This window comes from Homo sapiens, chromosome 14, assembly GCF_000001405.40.
Source record: "Homo sapiens chromosome 14, GRCh38.p14 Primary Assembly".
Lineage (NCBI taxonomy): Eukaryota > Metazoa > Chordata > Mammalia > Primates > Hominidae > Homo > Homo sapiens.
The window spans coordinates 58,918,105-58,934,029 of NC_000014.9; the positions used below are offsets into that span (position 1 = coordinate 58,918,105).

The 15,925-nt window shown below is 38.7% G+C and overlaps 1 long non-coding RNA gene across 1 annotated transcript in view; it reads left to right on the forward strand.

Annotated features, from left to right (window-relative positions):
* LINC01500 (long intergenic non-protein coding RNA 1500) overlaps positions 1-15,925 on the forward strand; it is a 189,041-nt gene that overhangs the window by 89,817 nt on the left and 83,299 nt on the right. The gene's annotated exons all lie outside the window — the stretch shown is intronic.

Consider the following 15,925-nt stretch of genomic DNA (forward strand, 5'->3'; position numbering starts at 1 on the left):
GTCCCACAGGACGGCCTGAAAATCAAAGTGCTTTTAGTATGTTCTCTATTGGAAGTTGCTTCCTCCAGCTAATAACATCTAGACTCATGTGTGAGCGTTTCTTGTAGTGGAAACAGGAAAGGTATGCTTATGATGAGCTGACACATGCACAGACTATGACTGACTCATGTCAAACTTGGAAGTGCAGCCATTCAGGCCTGTGGTAGTGGGGGTTTACACTACCTATCTGTCGGGACTGTTCTATTCATGGATTTGCCCCGAATGGCACACATCAGTCTGCCTCTTGTTTGCTTATGGTATCTGGGGATTTGACAATGACAAAAGGCCAATATAGTCTCAGGAAAGATTCTCACTGCTATATTCTACTGTTGAGGCTTTCTAGCTCAGTCGCTTTCTGCAGCTGAATTTCAGTCGGTAATACATTCAGTAAGAAACATGTCCTTGGGCAACTCTATTCTCAATGGAATTGTCTGATGAAGTGGGCTCTGTTAACTACTCAGGAGGCTTCATATGCTTTGATTACTGCTCATGAGATTTCTATTTCTTCAAGGAGCTTAATGAGGTTTTTTCTGGGGGGCAAAAATCATAAATTTCCATTTTTTAGTAGCTCTGCTGGTAGGAGTACAAATCATACATCCCTTTCATGGCCCATGAAACAATGTTTCTCATTTTTTTCTCTTGTGAGGTAGCAATGCAGATGTCATCTGGTCCATCTAAGAAATATTGAGAAAAGCATAATTAAATATAAATATTAATTACCTTTTTAAAGCCATATACTTTAAAACATGTAATTTCTTAAGTTTGCAAAGTATGTGATGTTGAATGTGCCTGAAGTAGGAATCAATTTCAATGGCCAAATGAAGGATTTTATAGCTTTAAAATATCTGCATTCATTTACTTTTAAAATTATAGAGGAAGGACAAAGTCTTTTTAGTAAATTCTTACTTATTAAAATGATTTTTTCTCTACATAAATCTTCCTTGATTTATGTATTATTTTTGCTTCTTTCATTTAAAACTACTTTCATAACTTAAATGATTTGAACTGAATTCACGGTTGACAGCCAAGTGTTTTGATAACTTTCCCCCTTAGTTTGATGGCAAATACATCATTGTGTGCTCGGCTGCTTGTCAGAGCACCAACAGTGGCATCCATTTCTCTGTGGAGGCCAGGAATATAAAAAAATATGCAATCGGAAGCATTCTAAATGTAATGGCAAATTTAGCTGATAGAACGTGCAGAATACTAATGAGCAGTCTGCTGGGCCTGCTGTGCACTCGCGCATCACAGACTGAGAATAATGACCTTGCTCAAGACTTAAGCAGAGAGTCATTGCAGTTAGCAACAAACAGATGTCTCTGATTACACTCCAGCCACCTAACCTCTCCTGGGACCTTGACATTAGCTGTACACATGAAAACTACTACCTCAGTTCAGGTCACGTATTTGCTCACTGCTGGGGGTGGGTCACAGACTAGGGGAAAGGTGGGGGAACAACCTTTAAATTCCACAACAGTCAAGCCTTAAAATGTCTTACCATGTTTACAGACAGATTCTTGAAGTTAATTTGAAAAGTTAAGTAAAACATCTATTCACTACTTTCCCTTGCTGTTTACAACCTTTAAAAATTAAAAAAAAAAATAAAGCATCTCTTAAGAAACATCTGCCTTCTATAAAAATCAAAAAGGACTTCTTTAAACAAAAAGAAGGGAAAGTATGAATAGAATTGGTAAATAACTTCCTCAAGATCTTTTTCCCCCTGTGGGTATGACGCAGAAACAGAAAAGCTTTATTATTGATGGTAATCAAACTTTGCTAAGCACTTTCCTGATTCTCATTCAACAAAGCTCAGAAGTTGCTATCATTTATGTACTATTTTAGAGATGAGGAAAGTGATGTGGTAAAGCTCAGTTTGTTTAAATAGCTAGTGAGGAGCAGAACTAGGATTTGCACAGAAGACAACACAACTTCAGCACCTGAGTCTTAACTGCTTTATTTCATTGCTTTTCTAGTTTTTCAAATGGCTTTCACTATTAAAATAAAGTTACAATTTCCTGTTGGAAATCCAATTAAATGTACAAAAAATTCTCATGATTCAGCATGACAGATCCACTATCTTATGGCCGGTGAGACTATAAACAAAGGATCAAAAGTTGATTTAAATTAAAAAAAAATTTTAAGTCAGACAGTTATTTTGGAAGGTTGTACTTTAAACAGATTTTCTTGGATATATCATCCCGCTGCTGGATAGGATGTAGAAGAACGTGAAAGACTCTACTGCCACCGAGATAAGAAGAAATCACTGGAAAAACAAACAAACAAACCACTTTCTAGAACCATAAACCTTCTACATGAAACATAGGACAATATTTTTATGGCCCTTCAAAGGCAAAGATTTTGACAGGACAAAAAGCACCAACCATAAAAGAAAAAAAAATGATAAAACAACTTAATCAAAAAGTAAAGGTTCTGAATTTCAAAAGAAATCATTAATAAAATGAAAAGATAAGCCACAGATTGGGAGAAAATGTTCATAATATATGTATTTGACAAAGGACTTCTATCTAGGATATGTAGGAAACTCCTACAGCTCAATAATAAAAAGACAAACAACCCCAGCCCAATGTCAAAAGACTTAGACACTTAACAAAAGAAGATATATGTTAGACAATAAGCACAGAAAAAGGTGCTTAGCATCACTGTTAGTGTATATAAAGATATGAAAAAATTAAAACCACAATAAGATACCATTTTACCTACTCTAATGGGTAAAATGAAAAAGACTGAAATACCATATATTCAAGAGTGCAAAGGAACTGGCACTGTCATACATTGCTGGCAGAAATGTAAACTGATAAACCATTTTGTAAAACTGGTCTTTCCTTACAAAGTTAAATTTACACCTACTTTATGACATATCAGTTTCACTCCTAGTTTTTTTATCCAAGGAAAATTACATATGTCCAAAAAATGCTTGTGCAAGAATGTTTGTAGCAGCTTTATTCATAATTCAAACCAGAAACAACCCATTAACTCAGAATGGATAAACAAACTGTGGTATAGGCATACCATTGAATACTTTAGAAAACTGTACATCAATAAAAAGGAATCAGCTATTACTACGTGGAAGGACATTAATAAATCTTTCAAAACGTTATGTTGATTCTGTTGGTAGAAATCCAATCCGTGGCTGTGTGGAGTGGGTGAGGACTGGCTTCAAGGGAGCAAGAAGAAATTTTCTGGGGTTATGGAAATGATCTATATCTTGAATATTGTGGTGATTACAGAGGTGCTACTTATACACTTTTAAAAATATATTAGACTATACAATTCTGGAAGTCCTAGACAGAGCAATCAGGCAAGAGAAAGAAATAAAAGGCATCCAAATAGGAAACAAAGAAGTCAAGCTACCTCTCTTCACTGACAACATGATTCTACACCTAGAAAACCCTAACGACTCCACCAAAAGGCTCCTGGAACTGATAAAGAACTTCAGTAAAGTTTCAGGATACAAAATTCAATATACAGAAATCAATAGCAAACAAACTCCAATAGCATTTAAGCTGAGAGCAAAATCAAGAATGCAAAACCATTTACAATAGCCTCCCTGCCGCCCTCCCCTGCCACACACACACACACACACACACACACACACACACACACACACCTCCTAGGAATACATCTAACCAAGGGGGTGAAAATATCTCTACACGGAGAACTACAAAACACTGTTGAAAGAAATCACAGACGATACAAACAAATGGAAAAACATCCCATGCTTATGGATTGGAAGAATCAATATCATTAAAATGCCCAAAAGCAATCTACAGATTCAACACTATTCCTATCAAACTACCAACATCATTTTTCACAGAATTAGAAAACACCATTCTAAAATGAATATGGAACCAAAAAAGAACCTGAATGGCCAAAGCAATCCTAAGCCAAAAAAACATAACAAAGCCAGAGGCATCACATTACCTGACTTCAAGATATTCTATAAGCCTACTAAAATAGCATGGTACTGGCACGAACACAGACGAATGGAACAGAACAGAGACCCAGAAAATAAAGCCACACACCTACAGCCATATGATCTTCAACAAAGTCAACAAAAATAAGCAATGGGGAAAGGACCATCAATAAATGGTGCTGGGGTAGCTGTCTATCCGTATGCAGAAGAATGAAACTGAATCTCTATCTCTCACCATATACAAACATTAAAACTCAAGATGAATTAAAGACTTAAATGTAAGACCTCAAACCATAGGAATTCTAGAAGGAAACTTAGGAAACACCATTCTGGACATTAGTCTTGGGAAAGAATTTATGACTAAGTTCTCAAAAGCAATTGCAACAAAAACAAAAGCAAAAGAAACTATCAACAGAGTAAACAGACAACCTACAGAATAGGAGAAAATATTTGCAAACTATGGATTCAACAAAGGTCTAGTATCCAAAAACTATAAGAAGCTTAAATAATTGAACAAGCAAAAAACAAATAATCCCATTAAAAAGTGGGGAAAAAAACATGAACAGAGACTTCTCAAAAGAAGACATACAAGCAGCCAATAAACATGTGAAAAAATTTTCCTCATCACGAATCATCAGAGACATGCAAATCAAAACCACAATGAGATACCATCTCACACCACTCAGAATGGCTATTATTAAAAAGTCAAAAAACAACAGATGCTGGCAAGGCTACAGAGAAAAAGGAATGCTTATTGCTGTTGATGGGAATGTAAAGTAGTTCAGCCACTGTAGAAAGCAGTTTGGAGATTTCTCAACGAACTTAAAACAGAACTACCATTCAACCTGGTAATCCCATTACTGGGTATATATTCAAAAGAAAATAAATCATTCTACCAAAAAGATGCATGCATTCATATGTTCATTGCAGCACTATTTACAATAGCAAAGATGTGGAATCAACCTAGGTGCCCATCAATGGTGGACTGAATAAAGAAAATGTGGTACACATAAACCATGGAATACTACACAGCCATAATAAAAGAACAAAATCATGTTGTTTGCAGCAATGTGGATGCAGCTAGAGGCCATTATCTTAAGCAAATTAATGCAGGAACAGAAAACAAAATACCACATATTCTCACTTAAGTGGAAGCTAAACATTGGGTACTCATGGACATAAGGATGGCAACAATGGACCCTGGGAACTACAAGAGGGGAGGAAGAGAGAAGGGAAACGGTTGAAAAATTAATTATTGGATACTGTGTTCACCAGCTAGGTGACAGGATCGTTTGTATCCCAAACCTCAGCATCACACAGTATATCCATGTGACAAACCTGCACATGTATTCCCTGAATCTAAAATTAAAGTTGAAATTATATAAATAAATAGATTATCATGTAATTGACAATAATAAAATAATACATTTGTTTGATATTTTGCCATAAAAATAAACTGTACACTTCTATGCATTTTATTATATTATAACTCAATAAAGTTGATTAAAATATATTACTTTGAGGGAGGGGCCAAGATGGCTGATTAGAAGCAGCTCCAATCTGCAGCTCCCACCAAGAAGAATGAAATCAGCAGGTGAGTCCTGCAACTTCAGCTGAGGTATCCAGGTTCTTTCATTGTGACCCATGGAGAGCAAACAAAAGCAGGGTGGAGCAACAATCCGCCTGACAGATGCATGGGGTATGGGAAACTCTCACCCCCCCAGCCAAGGGAGGCAGTGAGTGATCGTGCTACCTTGCCAGAGAAACCATGCTTTTGCCACAGATCTGTGCAACCCACAGATCAGGAGATCCCCTTGTGAGCCCATGCCACCAGGGCCTTGGGTCCCAAGCACAGGGCTGTGCAGATGCTTGGTGGCTGCTTAGGTTGTGGCCAGTGGCAGCAGGCTGAGCTGCAGACTGCCTAAGATGACTGAATTTCCAGGGAGAAGGGCAGCCAGAATCACTGCAGCTCCATTCGGCTGTTTTCCCATGCTGGTGCTGGGGAGACTTGGTGGTTTGGACCAGGAGGAATCCCCCACAGCGCAGCACAGCGGCTGTGGCAGATTGTGGTCAGGCTGCTTCTTTAGGTGGGACCTAGATCCCTCCCCCCTCATTGGGCAGGGCCTCCCTGTGGGAATTTCAGGAATTCCAGCTAGGGGTTTACTGACAGAACTCTAATCTCCCTGGGATGGAGCCCCTGGGGTTAGGGGTGGCCATGGTCTCTGGTTCAACAGACTTAATCTTTACCCCTACTGGCTCTGAGGAGGCCATGAGTCTGGATGAGTGGGAGTCCTCCCAGCGCAGCGCACCCACTTTGCCAAAGGATAACCAGACTGCTTCTTCAAGTGGGTCCCTGGCCCTATGCCTCCTGACTGGGTGAGACCGCCCAACAGGAGCCACCAGACACCTAATACAGGAGGGTTCTGGCCAACATCAGATTGGTACCCCTCTGGGATGGAGCTCCCAGAGGAAGGAGTGGGCAGCTATCTTTGCTGTTCTGCAGGCTCCACTGGTGATACCTCTAGGTGTGGGAGGGACCCAGGTGAATAGGGTCTGGAGTGGACCCCCAGCAAACTGCAGCATTCCTGTGGAAGAGGGGCTGGACTGTTAAAAGAAAAACAGAAAGCAACAACATCAACAAAAGAGACCCCACAAAAACCCCATACAAAAGTAAGCAGGCTCAAACATTGAAGGTATGTAAACCCACAAAAAAGAAAAAAATCAACATGAAAACGCTGAAAATTCCAAAAGCCAGAGTGCCTCTTCTCCTCCAGATGATTGCAGCACCTGTCCAGCAAGGAAACAGAACTAGGCTGAGACTGAGACAGATGAATTGGCAGAAGTAGGCTTCAGAAGGTGGGTAATAACAAACTTCACTGAGCTAAAGGAGAATGTTCTAACCCAATGCAAAGAAGCTAAGAATCATGAAAACATTACAGGAACCATTAACCAGAATAACCAGTTTAGAGAGGAACATAAACAACCTGATGGAGCTGAAAACCCAACACAAGAACATCACAATGCAATCACAGGTGTCAATAGCTGAATAGACCAAGCAGAGAAGAGAATCTGAGACTATCTTGCTGAAAAAAGACAGGCAGACAAGATTGGAGAAAAAAGAATGAAAAGGAACAAACAAAACTTCCAAGAACTCTGAGATTATGTAAAAAGACCAAACCTATGACTGATTGGGGTACCTGAAAGAAACGGAAAATAGAACCAAGTTGGAACACATACTTCAGGATATCATCCAGGAGAATTTCTTCAACCTACCAAGACAGGCCAACATTCAAATTCAGGAAATCCAGAGAACCCCAATAAGATACTCCATGAGAAGACCAACCTGAAAACACATTATCATGAGATTCTCCAAGGTTGAAATGAAGGAAAAAATGTTAAAGGCACCTAGAGAGAAAGGCCAGGTCACCTACAAAGGGAAGCCCATCAGACTAACAGTGGACATCTCAGCAGAAACCCTACCAGCCAGAAGAGATTGGAGGCCAATATTCAACATTCTTAAAATAATTTTCAACCCAGAATTTTATATCTGCCAAACTAAGCTTCGTAAGTGAAGGAGAAATAAACTCCTTTTCAGACAAGCAAATGCTAAGGAAATTTGTCACCAACAGCCCTGCCTTGACAGAGCTCCTAAAGAAAGCACTGAAAATGGAAAGGAAAAACCATTACCAGCCACTACAAAAACACACTGACATACACAGACCAATGACACTCTGAAGCAACTACATTAACAAGTCTGCAAAATAACCAACCAGCATCACGATGACAGGATCAAATTCACACATAACCTTAAATGTAAGTGGGCTAAATGCCCCAATTAAAAGAATAGGATGGCAAGCTGGATAAAAAGTCAAGACTCATCGGTGTGCTATGTTCAGGAGACCCATCTCACATGGAAAGACAAACATAGGCTCAAAATAAAGAAATGGAGGAAAATTACCAAGCAAATGGAAAGCAGAAAAAAGCAGGCGTTGCAATCCTAGTTTCTGATAAAATGGACTTTAAACCAACAAAGGTCAAAAAAGACAAGGAAGGACATTACATGGTGGTAAAGGGTTCAATTCAACAAGAAGAGCTAAGTAGTCTAAATATACGTGCACCCAATACAGGAGCACCCAGATTCATAAAACAAGTTCCTAGAGACCTACAAACAGACTTAGATTCCCACACAATAATAGTGAGAGACTTTAACACTTCAGTGTCAATATTAGGCAGATCATTGAGAGAGAAAAGTAACAAAGAAATTCAGGACATGAACTCAGCTCTGATCAAGTGGACTAGATAGGTATCTATAGAACTCTCCACCCAAAAACAACAGAATATACATTCTTCTTGGTGCCACATGGCACTTACTCTAAAATTGATCTCATAACCAGAAGTAAAACACTCCTCAGCAAGTGCAAAAGAACTGAAACCATAGCAAACAGTCTCTCAGACCACAGCGCAATTAAATCAGAATTCAAGACTAAGAAATTCACTCAAAACCACAACTACATGGAAATTGAACAACCTGTTCCTGAATGACTCCTGGGTAAATAATGAAATTAAGGCAGAAATCAACAAGTTCTTTGAAACTAATGAGAACAAAGAGATAACATACCAGAATATCTGGGATGCAGCAAAAGCAGTGTTAAGAAGGAAACTTATAAGCGCTAAATGCCCACATCAAAAAGCTAGAAAGATCTCAAATTGACATCCCAACATCACAACTAAAAGAACTAGAGAATCAAGAACACACAAACCTCAAAGCTAGCAGAAGACAAGAAATAACCAAGCTCAGAGCAGAATTGAAGGAGATAGAGACATGAAAAACCCTTCAAAAAATCAATGAAACCAGGAGCTGCTTTTTTGAAAATATTAATAAAATAGCCTGCTAACTAGATTAATAAAGAAGAGAGAAGAATCACATAGACACAACAAAAAAAATGATTAAGGGGATATCACCACTGACCCCACAGAAATACAAACAATCATCAGAGAATACTATAAAAACCTCTATGCAAATAAACTAGAAAATCTAGTAGAAGAAATGGATAAATTCCTGGACACATACACCCTCTCAAGACTGAACCAAAAGAAAATGGAATACCTGAAATAGACCAAAGACAAGTTCTGAAAAAAGACCAGGCCCAAATAGATTTACAGCTGAATTCTTCTAGAGGTACAAAGAGGAGCTGATGCCATTCCTTCTGAAACTATTCCAAACAATTGAAAAGGAGGGACTCCCCCCTAACTCATTTTATGAGGCCAGCGTCATCCTGATACCAAAACCTGACAGACATACAACAAAAAAAGAAAACTTCAGGTCAATATCCCTGATGAACATCGATACAAAAATCCTCAATAAAATACTGGCAAACCAAATCCAGCAGCACATCAAAAAGCTTATCCACCACGATCAAGTTGGCTTCATTCCTGGGATGCAAGGCTGGTTCAACATACGCAAATCAATAAATGTAATTCGTCACATAAACAGAACTAAAGACAAAAACCATGTGATTATCTCAACAGGCACAGAAAAAGTCTTGATAAATTCAACATCCTTTCATGTTAAAAGCTCTCAATAAACTAGGTACTGAAGGAACATGCCTCAAAATAATAAGAGCCATTTATGCAAACCCACAGTCACTATCATACTGAATGGGCAAAAGCTGGAAGCATTCCCCTTGAAAACTGGCACAAGACAAGCATGCCGTCTCTGAGTACTCCTATTCAACATAGTATTGGAAGTTCTGGCCAGGGCAATCAGGCAAGAGAAAGAAATAAAGTGTATTCAAATAGGAAGAGAGGAAATCAAATTGTCTCTGCAGATGACGTGATCCTATTTCTAGAAAACCACATTGTCTCAGCCCAAGAGCTTCTTAAGCTGATAAGTAACAGCAAAGTATCAGGATACAAAATCAATGTGCGAAAATCACAAGCATTCCTATACACTAACAATAGACAAGCAGAGAGCCAAATCGTGAATGAACTCTCATTCACAATTGCTACAAAGAGAATAAAATAACTAGGAATGCAGTTAACAAGGGAAGTGAAGGACCTCTTCAAGGAGAGCTACAAATCACTGCTCAAGGAAACCAGAGAGGACACAAATGGGAAAACATTCCGTGCTCATGGATAGGAAGAATCAATATCATGAAAATGGCCATACTGCCCAAAGTAATTTATAGATTTAATGCTATTCCCATCAAACTACCATTGATGTTCTTCACAGAATTCGAAAAACTAGTTTAAAATTCATATGGAACCAAAAAATAGCTCATATAGACAAGACAATCCTAAGCAAAGAGAAGAAAGTTGGAGGCATCACGTTACCCAACTTCAAACTGTACTACAAGGCTACTCTAACCAAAACAGCATGGTACTTGTACAAAAACAGACAGATAGAACAATGGAACAGCATAGAGAACTCAGAAATAAGACTGCACACATACAACCATCTGATCTTCGACAAACCTGACAAAAACAAGCAATGGAGAATGGATTCCCTATTAATAAATGGTGCTGGGAAAATTGGCTGGCTATAAGCAGAAAATTGAAACTGGACCCCTTCCTTATAGCTTATACAAAAATTAACTCAAGATGGATTAAAGCCTTAAATGTAAAACCCAAAACTATAAAACCCCTAGAATAAAATCTAGGCAATACCATTCAGGACATAGGCATGGGCAAAGATTTCATGATGAAAATGTCAAAAGCAATTGCAACAAAAAGCAAAAATTGACAAATGAGATCTAATTAAACTAAAGAGCTGCACAGCAAAAGAAACTATCTTCAGTGTGAATAGATAACCTACAGAATGGGAGAAAATTCTTGCAATCTATCCATCTGACAAAGGTCTAATATCAAGAATCTACAAGGAACTTAAATTTACAAGAAAAAAACAACCCCATTAAAAAGTGGACAAAGGACATGAACAAACACTTCTCAAAAGAAGACATTTGGCTGGGCACGGTGGCTCATGCCAACACTAATCCCAACACTGTGGGAGGCCGAGGCGGGCGGATCATGAGGTCAGGAGATTGAGACCATCCTGGCTAACATGGTGAAACCCCGTCTCTACTAAAAGCACAAAAAAATTAGCTGGGCGTGGTGGTGGGCGCCTGTAGTCCCAGCTATTCGGGACGCTGAGGCAGGAGAATGGCGTGAACCCGGGAGGCAGAGCTTGCTGTGAGCGGAGATCACACCACTGCACTCCAGCCTGGGTGACAGAGTGAGACTCCATCTGAAAAAAAAAAAAGAAGACATTTATGCAGCCAAATAATGTATGAAAAAAGCTTAACATCACTGATCATTAGAGAAATGGAAATCAAAACCACAATGAAATACCACTTCATGCCAGTCAGAAGGGTGATTATTAAAAAGTCAAGAGGTTGGGCACAGTGGCTCACACCTGTAATCCCAGCACTTTGGGAGGAACTGTTGGGAAAGCATAACTCACTTCAGCATTAGCCCAAAAGCCCACAGCCCAAAGTCTCATCTGAGAGAAGGCAAGTCCCTTCCACCTATGAGCCTGTAAAATCAAAAGCAAGCTACTGATTTCCTAGATACCATGGGGGTACAGGTATTTGGTAAATACAGTCATTCCAAATGGGAGAAATTGGTCAAAACAAAGTGGTTACAGGGCCCATGCAAGTCCGAAAACCAGCAGGGCAGTCAAAATTTAAAGCTCCAAAATGATCTCCTTTGACTCCAGGTGTCACATCCAGGTCACACTGATGCAAGAGGTGGCATCCCATGGTCTTGGGCAGCTCTGCCCCTGTGGCTTTGCAGGATACAGCTTCCCTCCAAGCTGCTTTCATGGGCTGGGATTGAGTGTCTGCAGCTTTTCCAGGTGAATGGTGAACGGTGCAAGCTGTTGGAGGCTCTAGCATTCTGGAGTCTGGAGGACAGTGGCCCTTTTCTTATAGTTCCACTAGGCCATGGCCCAGTAGGGACTCTGTGTGGGGGTTCTGACTTCACATTTCCCTTCTGCACTGCCCTAGCAGAGGTTCTCCATGAGCACCCTGCCCCTGCAGCAAACTTCTCCCTGGGTATCCAGGCATTTCCATACATCTTCTGAAATCTAGGCAGAGGTTCCCAAACCTTGATTCTTGACTTCTGTGCACTCACAGGCTCAACACCCCGTGGAAATTGCCAGGGCTTGGGGCTTACACCCTTTGAAGTCCTGCCCCGAACTCTACATTGGCTCCTTTCAGCCATGGCTGGAGCAGCTGGGATGCAGGGCACTGAGTCCCTAGGCTGCATGCAGTATGGGGACGGGACCCTGGGCCCAGCCCATGAGACCATTTTCTCCTAGACCTCAGGGCCTGTGATGGGAAGGGCTGCCGTGAAGACCTCTGACATGCCCCGAAGACATTTTCCCCATTGTCTTGGGGATTAACATTCAGCTCCTTGTTACTTATACAAATTTCGGCAGCCGACTTGAATTTCTCCTGAGAAAATGAGTTTTTCTTTTCTATCACGTTGTCAGGCTGCAAATTTTCCAAACTTTTATGCTCTGCTTCCCTTATAGAACTGAATGCCTTTAGCAGCACCCAAGTTACCTCTTGAATGCTTTGTTGCTTAGAAATTTCTTTCATTAGATACCCTAAATCATCTCAAGATCAAAGTTCCACAAATCTCTAGGGTGGGGCAAAATGCCACCAGTCTCTTTGCTAAAACATAGCAAGTGTTACCTTTGCTCCAGTTCCCAACAAGTTCCTCATCTCCATCTGAGGCCGCCTCAGCCTGGACCTTATTGTCCATATTGTTATCAGGCTTTTGGTCAAAGCCATTCAACAAGTCTCTAGGGAGTTCCAAACTGTCTCACATTCTTCTGTCTTCTTCTGAGCCCTCCAAACATTTCCAACCTCTGCTTGTTACCCAGTTCAAAAGTCACTTCCATATTTTTGGGTATCTTTTCAGCAATGCCCCCACTCTACTGGTACCAATTTTCTGTATTAGTTTGTTTTCACACTGCTGATAAAAACATACCAAAGACCAGGAAGAAAAGAGGTTTAATTAGATTTACAGTTCCGCATGGCTGGGGAGGCCACCTATGGTGGGAGGGGAAAGGCACTTCTTACATGGGGGCAGCAAGAGAAGATGAGGAAGATGCAAAAGTGGAAACCCCTGATAAAACCATCAGATCTCATGAGACTTATTCACTATCATAAGAACAGTATGGGGGAAACCACCCCCGTGATTCAAATTATCTCTTACAGGGTCCCTCGCACATCACACAGGAATTATGGAAGTACAATTCAAGATATGATTTGGGTGGGGACACACAGCCAAACCATATCAGTGAGGAAGAATGAGAGGCTGACTACACAAGTAATTCTTATATCTGCCAAGGGCTTCTTTTCTTGGTTTCTTTTTAAGTTAGTCATCATTTGTGTATAAAAGTACTACTAATTTGGATATGATGATTCTGTATCCTGCAACTTTGCTGAATTCATTTAGTTCTAACAGTTTTTTTGTGGAATCTTAGGTGTTTTTCACATATAGGATCATGTCATCTACAGATGAAGATCACTTTATGTCTTCCTTTCTGATTTGGATGCCTTTTATTTATTTTTCTTGTCTGACTGTTTCTGCTAGTATTTTCAGTACTATGTTGAATAAAAATAACAAGAGTACACATGCCTGCCTTGTACCAGATCACAGTGGAAAAGCTTTCAGTTTTCCCCCATTGATTATGTTAGCTGTGAGTTTTCCATAAATGGCCTTTATTATATTAAAGATCAATCCTTCTATACCTAAACTCTTCAGAGTTTTTATAAAGAAAGGATGTTGGGCTTTGTGGAATGATTTTTCCACATCAATTGAGATGACTGTGTGGTTTTTATCTTTCATTCTGTTGATGTGATGCATCATATTAATTAATTTACATATGTTAGACTAGCTTTGCATGGCAGGGATAAATCACACTTGTTATAATGTATAATATTTCTGTGTGTTGTTGGATTTGGCTTGCTAATATTTTATTGAAAATTTTTGCATCAATATTTATCAGATAAATTGGCCTGTAGTTTTCTTTTCTTGTGATGTCTTTATCCTATGTATTAAGGTGATACTGGCCTTATAAAATAGATTTGAAAGTATTTCCTCTAGCTCTATTTTTTATGGAAGACTTTAAGAAGTATTGGTATTAACTACTTTGAATGTTTGGTAGAATTTAGCTATGATGCCATCTGGTCCTGGGCTTTTTTGTTGCTGTTGTTGGGAGATATTTGATTATTTCTTCAATCTCTTTTTTTGATGTTGTTATTAGTTTGTTAAGGCTTTCTATTTCTTCCTGACTCAATTTTGGTAGGTTGTATTTGTACTTTCCTAAAGAGGTGTCAATTTTCTTTAGAATATCCAATTTGTTGGCATATAATTGTTCATGGCAATCTTTTATGATCCTTTTTATTTCTGAAGTATCTGTTGTAGTTTCTTCATTTTCATTTTTCAAATTGTATTTACTTGATTCTTCCTTTTTTTCTTAGTTTAGCTAAGATTTTATCATCTTTGTTTTAAAAAAAACTCTTAGTTTTATTGAACTATGGTTTTTCTGTTCTCTATTTGATTTATTTCTGTTCTGATTTTAATTATTTCCTTCTACCTGCTAATTTTGGGTTTAGTTTGTTCTTTTACTAGTATCTTGAGGTATAATGTTGGACTATTTATTTGGTATTTTCTTTTATTATATACATTTATTGCTATAAATTTTTCTCTTAGACCTGCTTCTGCTACATCACCTAGGTTTGGGTATGTTGTGTTTTCAATGTCATTTGTCTCAAAACATTTTAAATTTTTCCTTTTGACTTCTTTGAGCCATTGGTTGCTAGGAGCGTGTTACTTAATTTCCACACATTTGTGAATTTTCCAAAATTTCTCCTGTTACTGCTTTCTACTTCCATACCATTGTGGTCTGAAATAGATACTAGATAACATTTTAATCTTCTTAAACTTGTTCATACTAGTTTTGTGGCTTAACATATGGTCTATCCTGAATAATGCTCCATGTATACTGGAGAAAATGTGTGTTCTCCTGTTGTTGGACAGAAAGTTCCATATAAATCTGTTGGAGACATTTGGTCAAAAGTGCAATCTATCCATTGTTTGAAGTGGGCTATTGAAGTCTCCTACCATTACTGTATTGTTGTCTATTTCTCCTTTTATTTCCATTATTATTTGCTTTATATATTTAGGTGCTCCAATGTTGGGTGCATATATATTTACAACTATTATGTCCTCTGCATGAATTGGCTCCTGTAATATTAAATAATGGCACTTTTTGTTTCTTATGACAGTTTTTGACTTGAAGTCTTATTTTATCAGATAGAAATATAGCCACCCCTATTCTCTTGGGGTTACCATTTCTATGGAATATCTTATTTCATCCATTACTTTCAGCCTTTGTGTATCCTTAATGCTTACTTGGGTCTCTTAGCAAATAGTTAGAACTCGTTTTTTTTTTAATCCATTCAGACACTTTTTGTTTTTTGATTAGAGAATTTTTTAAAAATACAGAGACATTGTCTCACCCTGTTACCCAGGCTGGGGTGCAGTAGTTTGATCATAACTCACTGTAACCTCAAACTCCTTGGCTCAAGCGAACTGTCTGCCTCAGCTTCCTGAGCATCTGGGACTACAAGAACATCCAGCTAATTTCTTAATTTTTAGTAGAGACAGGGTTTTGCTATGTTGCCCAGGTTTAGAGAATTTAATCCATGTACATTCAAAGTGCCTATTGATAGGTAAGAACTTATTACTGCTATATTGTTATTTGTTTTCTGGTTGTTTTATAGCTCTTTTGTTCCTTTCTTCCTCTCTTTTTAACTGCCTTTGGGTTTCAGTAGTTTTCTGTAGTGCTAAACTTTGATTCTTTTTTTAATTGTTTGTATATATGCTGCAGTGTTTTGTTTTGTGTTTACCATGATGCTTACATAAAACATCTTGCAT